We start from the raw sequence: 20458 nt of genomic DNA, 5'->3' as shown, positions 1-20458 counted from the left end.
ATGAAGCTTCTGCGAGAGAAACACATTCTTAGTTTTCTTTATCTGAACAATTCTTTCTCAACTGAAAGGATTTACCAGGTACCATCTTGGTTGGTTCTTGCTACAAGGTTGAATTTTTTTTCTTTAACAGACATCTTGAGTATAATTTACATGCTGTGTAATTCACTTATTGTAAGTGTACATGCGATTTTAGTAAATTTATAATTGTGTAACCATAACTACAATCCAGTTCTAGAGCATTTCCAGCAACCCCCAAATTTCTGCATGTTCATTTACAGTCGATCCTTGTTTCTGCCCCCAGTCCTAAACAATTACAAATATTTCTACTTCTATAAATTAGCCTTTTGTAGACATTTCATATCAATTGAATCATATAATATGTAGTGTTTGGCAACAGTTATTTCATTTCGTATGATGTTTTTGAGATTCATACACGTTGGAGCCTGTGTCTATAGTTTGTTCCTTTTAATTGCTACATAGTTCTGTTGTATAGATATGCCACGTTGTGTTCATCCATTCAACAGCTGATGGACATGTAAGTTGTTTCAAGATTAGGGCTATTAGAAAGAAGGCTGCCATAAACCTTTGAGCATGTCTTTGTATGAACATGTGTTTTCATTTCTTTTGGAAAGATCCCTAGGAGTTGAATTGCTGGGTCTCACGATAAATTTAAGTTTTCAGGTTTTTTCGTTTTTTTTTTTTTTGAGACGTAGTCTCGCTCTGTCGCCCAGGCTGGAGTGCAGTGGCGCGATCTCGGCTCACTGCAAGCTCCGCCGCCCGGGTTCACGCCATTCTCCTGCCTCAGCCTCTGGAGTAGCTGGGACTACAGGCGCCCGCCACCATGCCCAGCTAATTTTTTTCTATTTTTAATAGAGACAGAGTTTCACCGTGTTAGCCAGGATGGTCTCGATCTCCTGACCTCGTGATCCGCCTGCCTCAGCCTCCCAAAGTGCTGGGATTACAGGCGTGAGCCACCGCACCTGGCTAAGTTACTTTTTAGAGAACCTTCCAGTTTTCCATAAAGGCTGTTCTTGACACTACAATGCTGAATTTTCATCAACCTCTGTTACTCGAAGTTCTCAGCTTTCTTTTTTTCTGTAGTTATGAGGATAGGTTAGCTCTTCCAACTTTCTAAGACCCTGAAGTTTTGGACTCTCTATTCTTTGTCATTCTTATAAAAATTGTCATTTTCGAGCCTGTTTCTTTCTTGTAGAACCTTGTCAAACATAGTTAATAACAACCAAGGCATGCTATCAGCATTCTTAGTCCATGTCTTCATTTGAAACCATAGCGCATTCAGTTCATCATCTGCCTTCCGAGTGAAGGCAGGCAACACTTTGACTAAATACTTCGTCACCGTCACTGCATAACATAGAGATGACTTCCTTTCAGCCTCTAGTAACAGTTTCCTTGACACCTGGCCCAAAGGCAATGGATTTTTGTTACAGAACATACTATTTCTGATAGCAATTTCTGTATTAGTGAGGATAAAGAGACTGTGCTCCAGTAATGAATGCCCATGAATCTCAGAAGATTATGAAAACAACATCACACCTGTAATCCCAGTGTTTTGAGAGGCCGAGGCAGGAGAATTATTTGAGACTGCACAACATAGCGAGACCCTGTCTGTACAAAAAAAATTATAAAATTAGCCAGGCGTGGTGTCACATGCCTGGAGTCCTAGCTACTTGGGCAGCTGAGGTGGGAGGATTGCTTGAGCCCAGGCTTTCAAGGTTGCAGTAAGCTATGATCGTGACACTGCACTCCAGACTGGGCTACAGAGCAAGACTCTGTCTCTCTTAAAAAAAAAAAAATCCATCCCCCAACAAAAAAAACAGTGTTTTCATTTTTTAATCCATGCTGCATATCCATCCTGATAAGCCACACTGTGCTATACATCATCTTTATTCCAGAACCTAGGGTGATCCCCATGAACCCAGATGAACCCCATCTGGAACATTGCTTGTCTTCTGGGACAGGGCAAAGAGGATGCAGTGAATCATGCACTAGCTCTTAAAGCTTCTGCTCACACTGAATTAGAGCAGGCTGTGTGGCCAATCCTGACACCAATGGGGCAGTGAGCTATAATCTTTCCCCAGGGAAGGGCAACAAAAATTATGAGCAACAGTATAATTTATCACATTATTCGTTTTCTTCTACATCTTGGGGACCATAAAGAAGAAAGAAGCAGCTGTCTTTTTGTGGTAGTTTTGCTCAGAGCTGCCTAGAGCGAGGACAAGACAGGTGACCTTTCAAAATACCTTACAGACTTAGGATTTGGATTTTCATGGTGGTTGGCACAGCCCCAGGCTGCACAGAACTAATACCTGCTGTTCCTCTGCCTCCACCAGCCCTATCTCTTAGGCTCAAGGAGAAATTTTACTGGATGGGCTGTCTTTTCCAAAGTTTACCACCCAACACCCAATGCCCTTTGGGGCATTAGTGAATCCATTTTTCTTGACTTCTAGCATAAATTCACCCACTTATGTGTTTCCTTCCCAGCTGTCTTTTGGGGAGACATTGCCTTAGATGAAGATGACTTGAAGCTGTTTCACATTGACAAAGCCAGAGACTGGACCAAGCAGACAGTGGGGGCAACAGGACACAGCACAGGTAGGTACTGCTTCCTCCCTTCTCCTGCCCAGATGGGAGGGATGAGGGACTTCAGCAGGGGGAGATGTGGTCCACGAGTCATCGGTGTTTGACTTGCTAGTCTAATGCCCCCCTATTTGTGGAAAATCAGAGGGGTCACTTCTCCTTCTCCACTGGAGCCAGTGGAGCTGGGGCTTCCAAGTTTGCTGATTCATCTAAGAAAATCTCCATTTGCCTCTTTATCAGAGGGTTCAGGCTGGAGCTCGGCATTTGTTCTTAGGACTCTGGCCTCGGGGTTCAGCACTTTCCAGATTGGAGAGTCAAGTGAAATGTAAACAGAAAACCATAACACCTCATAGCAAGTGTGTGAGAAACCAAGAGCAGTGGGAAGACAGAGAGTGAGTGGAGAAGCCTGCCTGGTGTCATGTGAATGGGCACTTGTGTGTGGTGTCTTGAAGGGTGAGTAGGAGTCCTGAGTAGGAAAAAAGGGCTCTTCAGGTGGAAGGAGAGTCTTTTGCAAAGGCAGAAAGTATGGGGGGACTCTCCTTATTTGAGGAACAGAGGTAAGGTACAAGTCACTGGAGGGCAGCCCTTTGGGGTGGGCTGTGGCAGGAGATGTGTCTGGAGAAGTTAGCTGGGGTAGACAGTGAAGGGCTTGCCTGTTGAACTCATGAGCTTGGGCTTTGCCCACTGGGCTGTAGGGGTTCTGGTGAACAGGAGCATGACTTGCTCATCTTGAAATCAGGGGTGCCTTGATGGAGTCTCCTCTCCCACTGCTCTCTGCAGCCCACCAGGTGCCCTTGGGGTGCTGGGTTCCTGGCTGCCTGCTTGGGCAGCTTCACTATGCTGATTGCAGTGGGGATGGTGCTGGGGGGAGGGTTGTATCAGGCAACCCCTCTTCCAGGCTGCTCATGTATGTGGTGACATCCAGGAAGATCTCTGGAACCTGGAGGGAAATGTGTGGGCATGTGCCCAGGGCAGGGGCACCTCCCACGGTTCATGAGGAACCAGAGCAGCTACAGGGACCTGCCTTCAAAGCTCCCTGCAGGGGTTGGTGGATGAGGGCTGACATTGCCAGGAGGTCACGGGGACCTCATCGCCAGTGGCTGGGAGGAAGGTGGGGCAATTATGTACTTTAGGATTTCTTTTTGGTGTCTTGTTTCATGAGTGTCATTTCTTAGGATTTTTGAGGTCTCGTATAAGGTTTGAAATTCTATTCACATTTTAAATGGAGTTTTCAATTATTTTTAATACCAATATATTCAGAACTTTACTTAAGCTCTTACTAAAGGAAGCATCTTTGCATAATTCTACCACTCCATCTAATCACACTTTTCTCCCCAGCTCTTACCTGGAGGCCTGGAGAAGCTGACCTGACTGTAATCTTGTATGTGTAGTTAAAATAGTTTTAAAACTTTTTTGATGGTGTTACTTAAAAATAGTGAACTTCATGTATCTCAAACATACAGCATGATGAACTTTTACATATGTACACGCCCATGGGACCACCACCCACACCAAGATAAGGAACATTCCAGACCCCAGAGACTCCTCACATCCCTCCCAGTTAATACGTGTCCCAAAGTAGCCACTGGTCTGACCTCTATCACCCCAGACTCCTTTTACCTGCATGGAGTCGTACAGTCTGTATTACTGTGTCTGGTTTCTTTTGTGCAGCCTGTGACTGAAATTCACTCACATTGCCGTGTTGCTCTTTTTCATTGTTATGCAGTATTCTATTGTATGAACGGACTCTGGTTTATTTGTTCTTCAGTTGACAGACATGTGGGCAGTTTGTGGTTTGGGCTACGATAAATAAAGCTGCTGCAGTCATTCTTGGACGTAGTGTTTTGGTGAACACGAGCACTCATTTCCACTGGGCCTGTGCCCAGGAGTGGGGGTGCTGGGTCATAGGGCACACACAGTTCAGCGTTAGTAGGTACTGTCGTAGAGTTCTCCAAAGTGGTTGTACCACTTTACGCTCTAAGTGGGTGCATACTCATTTAGAAGACAGGAGTGGTGTCTGTGCAGGATCCAGTAAGGCTTTGAGTCTTGGTCTCCCCGGTTTGGGTCTCACTGGCTTGACGCCGGCCCACCATCAAGAATGCTCAGGGTTGCCTTTCTCAGCTGTCCTGCTGTCCTTGGGGGCCCAAGGTTGGCAGATGGGAGTGAGAGACCCCAAAGAGAGGCAGGGCAGTGGCCAGCCACCACGCCAGCTGCATACCCGGCTGCTAGAGGGTTGTGTTGAGGGAAGGCTGCCTGAGGATGCTGTGGTGGAGGAAGCCCAGCAGCCCTGCCTTCTCCCTCATGCCACTTGCTCAAGGTGGACATGACCTAAGAATTTGGAGGCCTGTCTTCTCCCTTCTCTCCAGTGAGCTGATAGAGCTGATAGAGCACAGAGCCTACATCCTGCCTGGATTTAGATCCCCCAGAGTCTGGGCCAGGACCTTGTACCCAGAAGGTGCTGGCCAACATCAGCAGAGAGGAGATGGAGGCAGATGAAGATGGCAGACCCTGGAGCCGTCTCCCAGGGCCTTAGAGATCCAGAGCCTCAGCAGGGCTTTGCTCCCAGAAGGGTGGTGAGAGTGCTGACCGTGGTCACAGGCTTTGGGTCAGACTGCCTGGACTTGCATCCTTAAGCTGGGCCTCAGTTTCTTCATCTGTCAAATGCAAATAGCAATAATCCTTACCTCAGAGTAATGCTGCGAGGATGAAAAGAAAGAATATGTGCAAAGTGCTTAGCACAGTGCCTGGCACATAACAAATGCTTAATACATTTCATCTGCTTCCTCCTCATTATTATTAATATTTGCAGAGAGAAGACTGACCTGGGAGGGTTTACGATTAAAGTGGAGAGTGGGGAGCTGGGCATTCACCCCTGTGGTCCCAGCTACTTGAGAGGCTGAGGTGGGAGGATCGCTTGAGCCTGGGAGATCGAGGCTGCAGTGAGCAAGATCACGCCACTGCACTCCAGCCTGGGCGACAGAGCAAGACTCTGTCTCAAAAAAAAAAAAAAATTAAAATTAAAATTAAAACAAGTGGAGAATGAGGGAAATTTGCTGTGTACATAGGGAATGTGGGGCCTTAGGAATGAGGCCTTTGAAATATATATCATACTTGGTGTTTCTTCCTTCCCAAGCTTGATATTTTTTTTTCTAGTGTGTTTTTATGGCAAAGTGATTTTTATCCTGATCATTTTTCTCTGAGGTCCAATAGTACTTTGCGTCTACCTAGAATAGTATGAATAGTTATTTTATCGTCAGAATGGGAATATTTTTTATTGTTTTTGTTGATTAAACTAATGCTGCTTGTTGTAAAAAAAAAAAAAAAAAAAAAAGTCCAGTAGCTCATAATTGTATAAAGTGGAAGATGAAAATCCCCTGTTATCCCAGCCCCAAAGATCCCTGGCATTACCAGTTTGCTGGATTCTTTCCAGACTTAATGTGCTCAGGCTGTGTGTGTGCATGTTTGCGTGTGTGTGTGTGTGTGTGTGTGTGTGTGTGTGTGTGTGTAACATAAAAGGGATTAGGGATTTTACTCAATGTGCTTTGGTGTTGTCTGAATTTTTTACTTAACACTTTATCATGGACATCTTGTCATGCAGCACGTTGTGGTCTCTCTTATTTTAACGGCAGTAGTGATTCAATGTGCAACTCTGCCATGATTTACCTAACTAAGCCATTATAGATAAATGTGAAGATTGTTTCCCATTTTTTTTCTGTATTTTTTTTTCCTCTTAGAAGCAATGTTTCTATAAATAACTTTCTGCATGTATCTTTAAACATTTGTTTTAATTTTAAAAATCACAGGCCAGGTGCGGTGACTCACACCTGTAATCCGAGCACTTTGGGAGGCCGAGGCAGGCGGATCACTTGAGGTCAGGAGTTCAAGACCAGCCTGGCCAACATGGTGAAACCCTGTCTCTACTAAAAAATACAAAAATTAGCCGGGCATGGTGGTGGGTGCCTATAGTCCCAGCTACTTTGGAGGCTGAGGCAGGAGAATTGCTGGAACCCGGGAGGTGGAGGTTGCTAGTACGATTTCACTAGCCAAGATCGTACCACTGCACTACATCTGAGTGACAGAGTGAGACTCCGTCTCAACAACAACAACAACAACAAAAATAAAATATATATATATATATATACATATAAAATTAAAAAGGAACCACACCTTTATCCTCTTTTCCTACTTCCAAATGTGTGGGAAGATGTATTCTTAGATGCAAGTTAATCTCATTTCCAAGCTTTGGTAAGTGCCTCTGTGTATTAGTCTATTTTTACTCTGCTGATAAAGGTGTACCCGAGACTGGGCAATTTACAAAAGAGAGAGGGTTAATTGGACTCACTGTTCCACGTGGCTGGGGAGTCCTCACAATCATGGTGGAAGGCAAGGAGGAGCAAGTCACATCTTGTGTGGATGGCGGCAGGCAAGGAGAGCTTGTGCAGGGAAACTCCCATTTTTAAACCCGTCAGATCTCGTGAGACCCACTTACTATCATGAGAACAGCATGGGAAAGACCCGTCCCATAATTCAATCATCTCCCTTTGGGTCCCTCCCACAACACTTGGAATTACGGGAGCTGTAAGATGAGATTTGGGTGGGGACACAGAGCCATCCTGTTTCTTTTGTTGGAGGGTAGGGAGAGGGCTCAAGGGGAGAGGTCTGAGGTCCCTGGAGGGAGACATGGGGGGAAGGGCCCAGAACCCTGCAGTGCAACCCCAGAGGCCTCCTTTGCCTGTTTATCCTGTGATCTTGGCACTGCTTTTTTGGCTGCAGAAGGAAACCATGTCAGTTGCCCTAGAGGTGACCCAGTCAGCCTCATTTGCTAGATGTGCCCAAATTTATTCAGTAGCAGAATCAGGACTAGAACCCAAGTTTGTCAACTCCAGGGTTGCTGTGTCTTCTACTTTACCAACCTGCCCATCATATTGCCAGCTAGAGGAGCTGAGAACAAGAGTGCAGGTGGTTATTCCTTTGTTGTCACTTGTAAAGTAGGCTGGAGTCTTTCTGTGCCAATGGTGAGGCAAGACCTTATGCCTGGGTTGGCTTAAGAGCCCACTTAGTGCACTGCAGTGTCCACAAAAAGCCACTGACAGCTTTAGGATTCACAGCAGGGAGCATGTCTTCTGTTCACTTGGGGCCACGAGCTGTGTTGATTTCATGCCAATTTGTCTTCCTGCCTCTAGTCTCTCTTACTCCGTTCTGCTTCTAGCTTATCTTTCTGGCAACCTTGTGACCACTGTAGTGGGTCCTCCCAAAACCCATGTCTACCTGGAACCTCAGAATGTAATCTTATTTGCAAATAGAATCTTTGCAGATCTAATTAGTTAAGGATCTTGAGATGAGATCCTCCTGGATTTAGGGTGGATCCTAAATCTATTGACTGACATGCTTATAGGAAAAGAAGAGGACAGACAGAGAAGGCCATGTGAAGACAGAGGCAGAGATTGAAGTGATGCAGCCACAAGCCAAGAACACCAGGGTTGCCAGGAGCCACCGCAAGCTAAGCAGAGACAAAGGTGGATTCTCCCCTAGAGCATTTGGGGAGAATGCTGCCAACACCTGGCCTTCAGACTTCTAGCCTCCAGGATTGTGAGAGAATAGAGTTCTGTTGTAAGCCACTCAGTTGTAGATTGCATGGCAGTCCTAGGAAACGAATACTGCTGTGCTGTTTAGAGCCTTCAATAGCTCCCCCTTGCTTATTAGAAACATTCCTTGGTCGGACTCTTAAGGCCCTTCATGCTATGTCCACAACCTGTGTATCCAGCCTCTCTTCCCACTCCTGGTCCTCTAGCCAAATGCAATGATGTGCCTGTGCAGGCCCCCAGTTTCCTTCCTTACAGCCTCTGTTCTAGCTGCTCCCTCTGCTCAAAGTCCCCATTCTACACATAAGGAAATGAAGACCCCCAGAAAGGTTGGATGACCCATTCAAGCCTCTTTATCCATCTCTACCCAGCTGCATTTGTGATGCCTCTTTGCTCTGCATGCCTCCCAGCTTGGGGAGATGGCCTGGGTAGATGGTGCTATTAAAATTGGCCACATTTTGTGCTTGGGATGGAGAGAACTGCTATTTCTCCCCCATTCTCCGATGGGCCCATTCCCTTGTCATGGGGCTGCTGGAGGATGTGGCAGCCGCATTTTGGATGTGTGTGGGGGCAAGGCGGCAAGAAAGGATTCTTCAGGGAAAGAAAGTCTTCTGTGTGCATTTTATTTGCAGTGAGAAGAATGGGAGTCCTGGGCAGGCATTGGCCACGCTGTTCTATGAATGGGGCCCTTGAATTAACATTACAGAGTTTCCTAAAGCTGCTAATCGGATTAGCTGTGTAGTGAAGGAAGTACTTAGTGGGAGACACACACAGACACACACACAGGCGCGCATACACTTTCCGACCCTCTTGCACCCTTTTCGATACGAGAGTGGCTGAACCTGACAGCCCCATTCCTGAGTTCTTAGACACCTCTCCTGTTAGCCACAGGAGATGTGGAGGAGAAGCCTGTGTGGCTGATGCTTTGAACTTTCTGTTTGTTTGTTTGTTCCCCAAAGAGTCCAGGAAGTCTGCGTTGGGCACATCCATCTTTGTAAATGTACCTGAAAAGGAAATCTGGATCTGATTTCTTGATGTTTGTAATGAGGACTTTAAAAGGGGAAATGGTTTTAATTACTTATTGGCTCGGATGGAAGTTGATGTTTCCCGCCTCATCTATTCTGAGCCACGGGGCCATGTCCATCTCTATTTAAGAAATCAACCTTGCTCTAAATCCTCACTTCCTAAACTCCTGCCATCTGTGTAGGATGTCTGCATAACCCCAACAGTTTAGGTATTGGGTTTAAAATAATACATTAGCAGGAGAGACTCTGAGACATGTCCCCTCTCTGGGCCCTGTCTCTGAATCATGGGGACGCTTTCTTTTTTCATTGTATTTATTTTATTTTTTGAGACAGAGTCTCTCTCTGTTGCCCAGGCTGGAATGCAGTGGCATGATCTCTGGTTCAAGCAATTCTCCTGCCTCAGCCTCTTGAGTAGCTGGGATTTCAGGCGCCCATCACCATGCCCAGCTAATTTTTGTACTTTTAGTAGAGACAGGGTTTCACCACGTTGGCCAGGCTGGTCTCGAACTCCTGATCTCAAGTGATTCACCTGCCTCAGCCTCCCAAAGTTCTGGGATTACAGGGATTAGCCAACACGCCCAGGCTTGGATTCTTTCTTTACCCACAGACCCTTTGGTTCCTAGAGTTCCTATCTGTACTCTGTCCATGACTTTGAGTGGCACACATTACTCTCACCTGGTCTCAGTGTTCCCATCTGATTGGGGGGGGCTGATGGAACCACATTCTAACTTCCTTCAAGCCAGTTTGAGCTCTGGATTTGAGTGCTGGTGTTTCAGGCTAAAGAAAAGAGGGGAACCAAAGGCTATCAGGCATTACAGGGCTAAAGGTAGGCATTGAACACCAGTGCATACCCAAGAGATACCCAATGTCCAGAATCAGAGAACTTGGATTTAGGGTTTCTGGGCTCTGCTTTCCAAGGTTTGAGGCTCTAAAAAGAGATCCAACATGTTTCTGTTCCCAGCATATTTTTAACTTTGAAGCTTTTTTTTCTTTTTTTCTTTTTTTTGAGACAGGATTTTGCTGTGTCACTCAGGCTGGAGTGCAGTGGTGCACTGCAGCCTCAACCTCCTGGGTTCAAGCCATCCTCTCACCTCAGCCTCCTGAGTAGCTGGAACCACAGGCACATGTCACCGTGCCTGGCTAATTTTTGTATTTTTTGTGGAGACGAGATGTCATGTTGTTTCCCAGGCTGGTCTTGAACTCCTGGGCTCAAGCAATCCTCCTGCCTCAGCCTCCCAAAGTATTGGGATTATAAGTGCGAGCCACTGCACTCAGCCCAACTTTGAGGCTCTTGAGAGAGCTTATAGATGGGGCTGTGATTTTTCAGCCTCTGCCCCTGTGCAGACATTCCCCAAGCTTTGTAGACATGGCTTCCTCATTTCACTAGTTTTATTTGTTGGGGTAGGAGTGCTACTGACTGCCAAGTGTCCAAATGAGAATGGGTCAGTGGGGGGCTCCCTATGATATCCTACAGAAGGGACGATGTCTCGATTTTGTGAATGAACGTCAGGCTGGACTCTTGCTGGGCCAGTTCATTGGATTCAAGTCTGTCTTCTCTCACGTCATGCATTGCCAAGTGCCATCTCTGAGAAATCTCAGGGCCTCTGCTGCCAGGGCCACAGGTTTGGAAATCTGAAGAGTCACAGGGGCCCATCAGGGAGCTCTCTTACACATCCCTGTCTTTCCTCTGTCTCCTCCAAAGCTAGGTGAGGAGGGGGTCCAGAGAAGAAGGTCCTGGTGGCCTCTTTTCTCTAAGTATGTTGTGCGTGACATTTTGAGATTCACAGACTCCTTTGAGAATCTGACGAACATTATGAACCTTCTCGTAGGTACACACACACACGCACGCACACAGACACACACACAATCGTGCTTGCAGTTTTCAGATTGAGATCCATGGATCTCAAGTTACGAAATTCTGACCCCAGTCCTGTCTTTGGTGTGCCTCCCCACTGTTGGAGCTGCGACCATGGGCATCAGGACCTTGGAGGGCTGCAGTGTGGGAAGACGTGGGTGTCGGAGCCCAGCAGGCCTGAGTTTGCGTCTCTGGCTCTGTACTGATTCTCTGTGGGACTCAGGGCAACTCATTCCTTATTTGTAAGATGGAATAATAGTACCTGCCTCACAGCGAGGATTAAATAAGTGTGACACGTAAAACACTTATTCCAGCGTCTGACACCAAAAATAATAACAGTAATACCCGCAGGGTTGGCCCTTTGCTGGCTCTCTTGTCTTCTCTTCTCTATGCGACCCCCAACTTCTGTGTCCCAAATCCCATGCTTCCTAAGTGTCCAAGTCTCTTGGAATTCTTCATTTTAGTACTCTTCCGGAACCTGCAGGGGACTCTGGAGCAGGGCCTGTATCAGTGTGCTCTATCAGATGCTTGGATTTGGATTCCAACCAGCACATGGGAAATCTCTGAATCAATCTCCAACATAAAGACTTCCCAAGTGGCCGGGTGCGGTGGCTCACGCCTGTAATCCCAGCACTTTAGGAGGCCAAGGCAGGTGGATTGCTTGAGGTCAGGAGTTCCAGACCAGCCTGATCAACATAGTGAAACCCCATCTCTACTGAAAATACAAAAAAAAATTAGCCAAGTGTGGTGGCAAACACCTGTAATCCCAGCTACTCAGGGGGCTGAGGCAGGAGAATCACTAGAACCTGGCAGGCAGAGGCTGCAGTGAGCTGAGATCGCACAACTTGCACTCCAGCCTGGGCAACAGAGCAAAACTTTGTCTCCCCCCTCAAAAAAAAAGACTTCCCAAGTTGTCCTGAGCCACACTCTGGGGTCATCACAAAGTTGGCCAGAGAGGGATCTGAGAATGGATTCAATGCTGGTTCCTCTTTAGTAGTAACAGTGAAAGAATGAGAACAAGTACCATTTGTTATGTCAATTATGGGCTAAATGCTTTATAGACATGATTTTATTTAATCTTCACACAACAGTTCTATGTGGTAGGTACTATTAGTACGTGTAGGTGTGGAAATGAATTTTCAGAGAGGTAAGTAAGCTGTTGGTGAGCATACAGCTAATCATTGGCAGAGCCAAGATTAGGACTCTAGTCTTTGAAGTGTCAGAGGCCCTGTGTTTAGCTCCTACACTCCATTGCTTCTAGAAACAGACACTGGCATCACTTCTAACCCTGTTCCCTTGAGCTGCTGACGACTTAGGCTCTCCATCACTCCCCTAGAGAGGTGCTGGGGGTGCACAGGATGTGTTTTGCAGGCTTATGGGTGCTAAACCTCATCCTGCCTGCTATTATTTATTCAGCATCTGCCCGACCCATCAACCAGTCTGTCAACAGCAGTGACAGTCTGGCCTTTCTTCTTTTATTCCAGCATCAGGCTGGGCACATCAGTGGTGTCAGACAAACACGTGTGAACTGTGGATGGAGCCAGGAGGCTCAAGACTGCCTGATGGCCTTGCCTGCTCTCCTGCTCCCCCATGAGGCTGTCAGGGGTAGGATGGATTGTTTGAATGTGTGATGCCTCTGACCCCCGGCTGGGGATGGGTACCAGCAGCAAGAGAAATTCTCAGGCTCAGGGATGGAGCTGGGCAGGCCCACATCACCTTGCAGAGAGTGTCTGGAAAGGAGACCCTTTAGCCATGTGGTCATTAGCTTCTCTTTACAGGGCCCTTTGTACAGATTCTCAGATGGAAAATGTGGTCCTTAGGTCTGCAAGCCGGGGAGAGCTTGCTGGGGTCTCTGTGGACTTTCAGTCTTTCTTTCTCAGACCTTTGGGGGTGTCCAGCTGGCCCTCATCATCACCCTGCCCCGCCCACAAGAGTTCTTGGCTCCCACCGGTCAGAACTTGATCTTCACATGGTGCCCTCCTAGCCTGTCATTCCCCACACTCTTCCCTGGGATCGACCCCACAGCTCTGCTGCCTCTCTGATGCCAAATTCATGATTAGAATTGCTTTCTCTCTATCTCTCCTTCCTTATGTAAAATATGCTAATTGAGGACCTCTTCTGTGCTCAGCACCAAGGATACAGCAGTAACCACTTTTTCTCCCACCATTAAGGAGATTGTGTTTTTAAGATGGGAGTGATGATTGTCGTGCTCTGGGAGCACTGGAGGAATGGGTCAGATTGGAGGGTGGGATCTGGGATCAAAGCCCCCACTGGGTTGGGGGAGCCACTGCCCTCTCATGGCAGGCTTCCCCCACACCTACGGGGAAGGCCCCAGGTGACAGCTGTCACCCAGGCGGGAGGCTGGTGGTGGGGGTCCAGCCTGGGTGCACAGGGCCCCACCAGAGGCAGAGCAGAGGCACAGACACAGGGAGGCTGGGGTGTGTGGGCCAGAGACCCAGGCAAATCCCATCAGAAAGGCTGTAAGCAGGCTTCTTCTTCCATGCTGGGAGCTCAAAAGAACAAGGCAAGAGCGACTGGTTCTTGTAGGAAGTAAGGATTAGGGAGGAAAGCAGAGAGCTGGCCTGAGAGAATAAGATGGCTGCAAGAGTCAGAAATAATACAGAAATCCACAAGTCAATATCGGAGCCCAGGTCAGAGTCAGACCGGAGGGAAGGGTAGTGTGCTGCTGAGACTCTCGTGTGTTGAGTCCAAACCCCTGAAATCCCTCTGTCAGAGGACAGGGCTGGCCCCAGAGCCAGGGCTGGGCTCAGCCCGCAGAAAGCAATCAGCAGGTGCTAGCTGGAAAGGAGGGGGATGTCAGCACAGGAACCAGGCGCAGCCTGGCAGTTATTCCACCCATGAAGTTTTGAATTTAGTGAGATGATTTGAGATGATAAGGAGGCATCTGATAACGTGCACATCTGCTCTTTGGGAAGGAAAAAGAATGCAGCATAAGGAGTTGATCATCTCATCCTCCAGGGCCTCATTCAGGGGCTGACTTATACCTTGGATTGAAGCCAGAGTTCACTGAGAACTTGAAGTGTTGGGAAAAGCAAATTCACCTTTAAGTTAATTTTCATTACGAGCGTGTTTGTCAGGATTTGGAGAAGCTGGGCTGGGACTCCACCTGGGGCCACGGTGGGGTGCAGGGCCAGGTGGGGCAAGGGTGGTGCCTCCTCTTGAGTGTCCATCCAGGGAGTGGGTATCCTCATGAACCATGAACCTGAGAGCCTGAATCAAAATTGGGAGATGAGCTTAAGAAATTGGGACAAACAAGAGTTTAGTACCTGACGTTCTAGCCAAGGCTCTTTAGTTGTGAGATACAGAATCCCACTCAAGATAGCTCAAATAGAGGAGCGTCTTTTAAGAGTATATTCTCGTGGCCCTATAAGAACAGAGGCAGAGTAGAACTGGCCTCTTGGGGACTGGACTAGGAATTGGAGAGAAAGGAGCAAGGCTGATCTCTCTTCTCAGGGGCCACGAAGTACCTCTCATTTTTGTTTTGTCTCCTCTTCTTGCACCTGCCCCTCATGGCCAGCCTGCTGGAGCCTCTGTCATGATCCCTTGGCTGCAGTGTCCCCTACTGAATGCCTCCGGCAGCTACCTATGTAAGGCACTGTGGGAGTTCTGAGAATGGAAGAGATCTCTAAGGGAGGGGGTTATAAAATGAGCGAAGCAGAAGGCTGACAAGGCGTGCTGGGGAGGGAGGACGTGGAAATGAAGTAATAATGGGAGCAGATGGTAGGTCCACGTCTGTGGCGCAAGAGAATGAATGAATGAGGGAGAAGCTTCTGGTTTGGGGAGGTGATGGGCGAGTGAACTGACCCCCGGGGTAGCCCAGCTTCCTTTTGAGTTCACCTGGCTTTAAGGACCAAGCCTGGGAGTACCACCCCCACATGGCCATTTATAATGCTGTTGTCATGGGAAAATACTTTGAGTTCTCACCAGCCATCTTAATACATGGAACTTGGGGACACAGTCTCATGAGTGCTGGGGATCACGTGTATCATATGTATCAGTTGAGGATTCAGTCTTTGGCCTCTCAGCTTTGACCAACAGAAAGACTGTGTCTCAGCCTCTCAAGCATCCCCCTTTTGGTTTTTCTTAATCTGATTCCACTCTTCCTTTTTTAAACTGTGTATGTATTTTTGTTTGTATTTATTGAATGGAGTTCTATGTTTCTTGTTCTTAAATAGTAGTTGATATCTAAAGCAGAATGAAATGAAATAAACCCTACTAAAGGCTTTTTACTTATGTAGCCTCCAATACATTTTCGCAGTATAGTGTCATATATAGAAAAAATGTTTCTTACCATGACTTATAAGAACACTGTGGTGAATTCTTGTTGACAAAATAAAAGATCTTTTATGGCCAGGCATGGTGGCTCACAGCTGTAATCCCAGCACTTTGGGAGGCTGAGGCAGAAGGATCACGTGAGGCCAGGAGTTTGAGACCAGCCTGGGGAACATAGCAAGACTCTGTCTTGACAAAAATAAAAAGTAAAAGTAAATAGCCAGGTGTGGTGGCATATATCTGTAATCCCAGCTACTTGGGAGGCTGAGGTGGGAGGAGTGCTTGAGCCCGGGATTTCCAGGCTGTATGGTGAGCTATGATTGTGCTTGAGCCTGGGATTTCCAGGCTGCGGTGAGCCACTGCTCTGCAGCCTGGGTGACAAAGCAAGATGCTGTTTCTAAAAAAATACCTCCCCCAAATCCCTAAATTTTTAAACTTAGCATCTTAGTTTTTGTAAAGCTATATATATTTGCTCTTGTATTTCCTAACCTCTTTTTAGATGGGTCTACTTTGTTACAGCTGGAAACTGACCTTTGTTGCAAATGCATTTGCTGCTCAAACATGTTCTTACTGGGCATGATAATGAACTAAACTAATTTTTTATAAAACCAGTGCCACCATTCTTAGGGCTACCTATGACATGACAGACCTTGAAGATGTTACTTCACCTTGGGGGACCTCGGTTTCCTCATCTATAAAATGGAGTGCTGGACTCTAAGCTTCCTGAGGTCCAAGAATGAGTCCTTTGGTTCTTTTGCCAAATTCCCTGAGTGTAATGGGGACTGGATACATGGTGTCTGCTGCATACATTACTGATTAGATAACCACAACGTCTGGGTTCTCCTTCCTTTGATGCCTCGTGGAACTTCAGAATAGTCTGCTTAGATCATATCTAGCCAGGAACCTTGCAGAGACCCACTAGTGGGCTCCCAGAGGTGTTGACAGTGATGTGGCTGTGAGCTTCCTTTATCCCTTCTTAGAAAACAACAGACAGCAGTGGGCTGGAGAGAGGAGGTGAAGAAAGCCCAGGCTGCATGAAGGGTGTGAAACTGAGCACCCGACAAGTAGGCCTGGCCATAAGGGCTGAGGACACAACCTGAAGAGCCTCAGTGGGACGCTGCTGATGTGAGTGGGATGAGGCTCCCCATCCTGGTACCCAGTGCATGATGGCCCAGACAAAGCTGCATTTCTGCCGGAGCTGTTTATACCAAGGTCTGTAGGTTGTTATTTCTGTGGTTTCCAAGGAGATCCAGAGAGAGAAGGTGATGATGGTAGTGGAGTTGCCATTGGAATCTTCTTCCATGTTCTGGTCATCCTATTTCTCTTTGGTCCTCTTTAAGGAGCCTTGTTTGCCCACAAACACTGAGGAAAGGCCCAGCTGGCCTTGGCACTGAGCTGGTGGACTTGGTCCCACCCACCTCTAGCTCCCGCTACTACTTGCTTTCTGCTCCCCAGGTTCTCTGTCTCTTCTTTCATCCCTGGACCTTAGCTGCCATTGTCCAAGGAATCCCTCTCTTCTCTGACATTGTCATCACCTATAGGCATGACTTTCCCATTCCCCTTCAAGCGAGAGGTCCTGTGTGGTCAACCAGCCAGCCAAATCTTGTCTGCAGATGTGTTTTGTTTGTTTTGTAGTGCTTACATCTTTTTAATTTACTGCCAACATTTAAAAATCAGATTTCTCATAAAAATCCAGAACTCTGGCTTCTCTTGAAAAGCTGGAAGATTTGGCCACACCGGTCCAGTAATCCCACATGGCAACGATCAACAGAGTTGCGTAACAACAGGTTGCACTCCATGGTGAGCCGCAGTCCCCACCACTCCCTATTCATCTTCACACCCAACCCCGTTCACTTCAGTGCTCCCTGCCTGCCTGTCCCCCTGCCAACTCTAGGTATTTGAGCATGCATACGGGGCCAGTGGGTAAGAGGCACCACCTTGGGTCCTAATTCAGGTCCCCTGACATTGGTCAAGGCTGTTTTTCCCCTTCCTCATTAAAGGAGGAGGATCCTAGAGCTTCAGCTATTGCTGGGTAGTCTGGAAGAAGATCCTTCTTCTGGTGCCTCTTTTCTTCCTTTTCTTGAGGGTTCAGTCTCTATCACCTGTTGTAATATAGATGCTCATGTCCTGGGCACTGGATGGGACTGGGGTAGGATGGGACACAGAAAAGGCAAACAGAGGACACACTCAGTGTTTTGCATGGGATGGTTTATGGCCCTGCACATGTGCTAGCATCAGACAGATTCTTCCTGCTCCAGTCAATCAGTGAGGTGGGACCACATTAGTAGATATTAACTTCTCTAAAACAAACGGGCCATTGCATTTTACTGACAAATGCCAGCCCCCAGGAAAGCACTGGTTACCTTAACCTCTATTTACCGACATTGTCTCTTAAAGTTAAGGTCACTGCTCTGCAGTTCTTCTTGAACAGAGCTGACATCTGTCCCGCAAAGGTCAAGGACAGGGGGTGGAGTTCCTTGCTACTCTTTCTGCCTCTCTCCTCCAGTTCCCTGAGAGAGGACTGGAGTTGGTCTCTTCCTTTCTTTGATCTCCTGAGTTCCTTGCTACTCTTTCTATGACCTAATGAGTCTGGCTTGCCTTCTGAGACATCTGTAAATCTTCATTGGATCTATTGCATTTATGCAAAGACCATGTGATAAAATCCTAAGATTTTTTTGTAAGGACAAATCAGGTAGTGAGAAAGACTTAATCCCTGAGTGTAGGCAACCCTTTCTGCTTTTCAGAGCTCAGATTTAAATTCAGTGTTCAGTCCTCAAACTGTATAACTTTATTTTGGGGTATATTTATTTGCATTTCTGTTTACATTTAAGAATTTTTATTTCTATTTGAAAACATGTATTATGGATATGTCTTCTCTTAAAAGGAATTGCAAGCTTGTTTGAAAGCAGGTGGTGTAGACACTATTGATACAGAAGCAGTATCATGTTAAGCACTGTGCAAGACCCTTGGTGGAATATACCATTTCTGCCTCCAGGGAGCTTACAGTTGTTGGATTAATTGCCATCTGGGCACTCTGCTTCCTGCCCCGGGCTGGCACGTGCTAAGTGAGTAATCCATCCCTGTCTGTACTGCTGCCGCTCACAAGGCCAACATTCTAGGGTGTAGGGGAGCCAGAGTTGTGACTGCTCACAGATTGAATCTTTCCATGTTCTGGCAGTTTCTTCTTCTTTTTTTAATGTTTAATTAATTAATTTATTTATTTTTGAGATGGAATCTGGCTCTGCCACCCAGACTGGAGTGCAGTGGCACAATCTCGGCTCACTGCAACCTCCACCTCCTGGGATCACGTGATTCTCTTGCCCCAGCTTCCCAAGTAGCTGGGATTACAGGTGCACACCACCACACCTGGCTAATTTTTGTATTTTCAGTAGAGATGGGGTTTCACCATGTTGGCCAGACTGGTCTTGAACTCCTGACTCAAGTAATCCTACTCCTGACTCAAGCAGTCCTCCTGCCTCAGCCTCCCAAAGTGTTGGGATTACAGGTGTCAGCCACCGTACCTGGCCTGTTCTGGCAGCTTCTACAGAAAAGGTCTCCATTCAGCAGGCTCTCGGCTCCTGCCTCAAAGCTCTATGCTCCTCCAGTGCCGTGAGAGAGGGCTTGGGTGTTTTGTTCCTCTCTTCGTTTCTTTCTTTGAATTCCTGGTTGGCTCTGGGTCCTGATCTCCACTTCACTGCCCCAGTTCAGCCCTGACAGGACTCAGCTCTGCTGCCCTGGCTGGTCCACTTATTAGTAGATGACTGTTTTCCATTTATTAGTTTTTACTCATTTGGTCAAACTGAAAAACTAATGAGGCCAGGTGACAGGTTCACTTCCCATGTGGGGCCGTGAGCTGCGTCTGCCCTGCTAGATGGCATCCTGTATGTGTAGACGAAGGTCCCAAGGGAGCTGGAGCTGGGTGCACTGGTGGCCCAGCATGCCCTTGTCACAGCCACTGAGGATCACCCCCAGTGTCCCCCTCCCCCTGCCTGGGAGCCTGGCAAAGGCATTTTGCATTTGGGTGGTGCTTGAAGCCCCCTCACAACTCTAATTTGTGTCAGTTGTGGAACCGAACAGGATCCTTCTGCCCTTTCACAGCAGAGGACATGGAGACCCAGAGGAGTCCCTGGTTTGCCTGAGGTCCCGAAGTCTGGTCCATCATGCTGGGAGAACACAGGTCATGAGCCCCAGCTTCAGGTCCTTCCCGATACCTGACTACCTGCTGCTGATGGGCCAGGACCGGCCCCTTTCTCAGGGGCTCTCCTTTATTACTCTGAAATGAACGTTGGGTCTTGAGAGCTGGCTTCGTTTGCTGCGTTCGTTTGCTTTCCTGCTGTGACGCAGTGGGAAGCTGCAGGCTCAATGCCTCGGAAGACATGACCGTAAGAAGCCCATCAGTGCTGGCTTCGGGAACCACATGGGGGTCCTTGGGCCCATCAAATCGAACACCTCTCCCTTCTGTTTTCTTTAGTGAGGTACAGTTGATCCTCACAGATTTTATATTCGTGAATTTGCCTACTTGCAAACATTTATTTGTAACCCTAAAAATCAATATTCATGGCACTTTTTTGGTTATTCACAGACATGTGCAAAGCAACGAAAAATTTGAGTCTCCCAATTTGCATGTTCCCAGCTGAGGCCGGATGATCTGCCTTCTTGTTTCAACTCACATACTGTAAACAAGTGTCCTTCTTGTGCTATATTTAGTGCCATATTTTAAGCATTTTTGTGCTTTTTGTTGGTGATTTTGCTATTTAACATGGCCCCCAAGTATAGTGCTGAAGTGCTGACTAGCGGTGTTCCTAATTGCAAGACGGCTGTGATGTGCCTTATGGAGAAAGTCCCTCTGTTAGATAAATTTCATTCAGGCATGAGTTATAAATATAGTGCTGTTGGCTGGGAATCCAATGTTAATGACCTAATGATAGATATTAAATTAGGTGTCTTTAAACAGAAACACACATAAAACAAGGTTATGTATCTATCGGTTGATGAAAATGTTGTGACCAGTATAGTATAGAGCACTACATGTTGTGCAGTATATAGTAGACAGTACTGTACTTTATACTAGAGTGTATATTGATCTCCTGGGAGCAATGGTTAGG

General features: G+C 47.1%; 1 protein-coding gene across 1 annotated transcript in view; it reads left to right on the top strand.

Moving 5' to 3' along the window:
* Positions 1-20458, top strand: part of TLL2 (tolloid like 2) — a 149319-nt gene that overhangs the window by 30965 nt on the left and 97896 nt on the right. The window contains exon 2 of the mRNA NM_012465.4: positions 2503-2613. Within this exon, the coding sequence (NP_036597.1) occupies positions 2503-2613 (111 nt within the window). The remainder of the gene's footprint in view (positions 1-2502; positions 2614-20458) is intronic.

This window comes from Homo sapiens, chromosome 10, assembly GCF_000001405.40.
Source record: "Homo sapiens chromosome 10, GRCh38.p14 Primary Assembly".
NCBI lineage: Eukaryota > Metazoa > Chordata > Mammalia > Primates > Hominidae > Homo > Homo sapiens.
The sequence above is the reverse complement of the archived record's forward strand: the minus strand, read 5'-3'. Positions and strand labels throughout refer to the sequence as shown.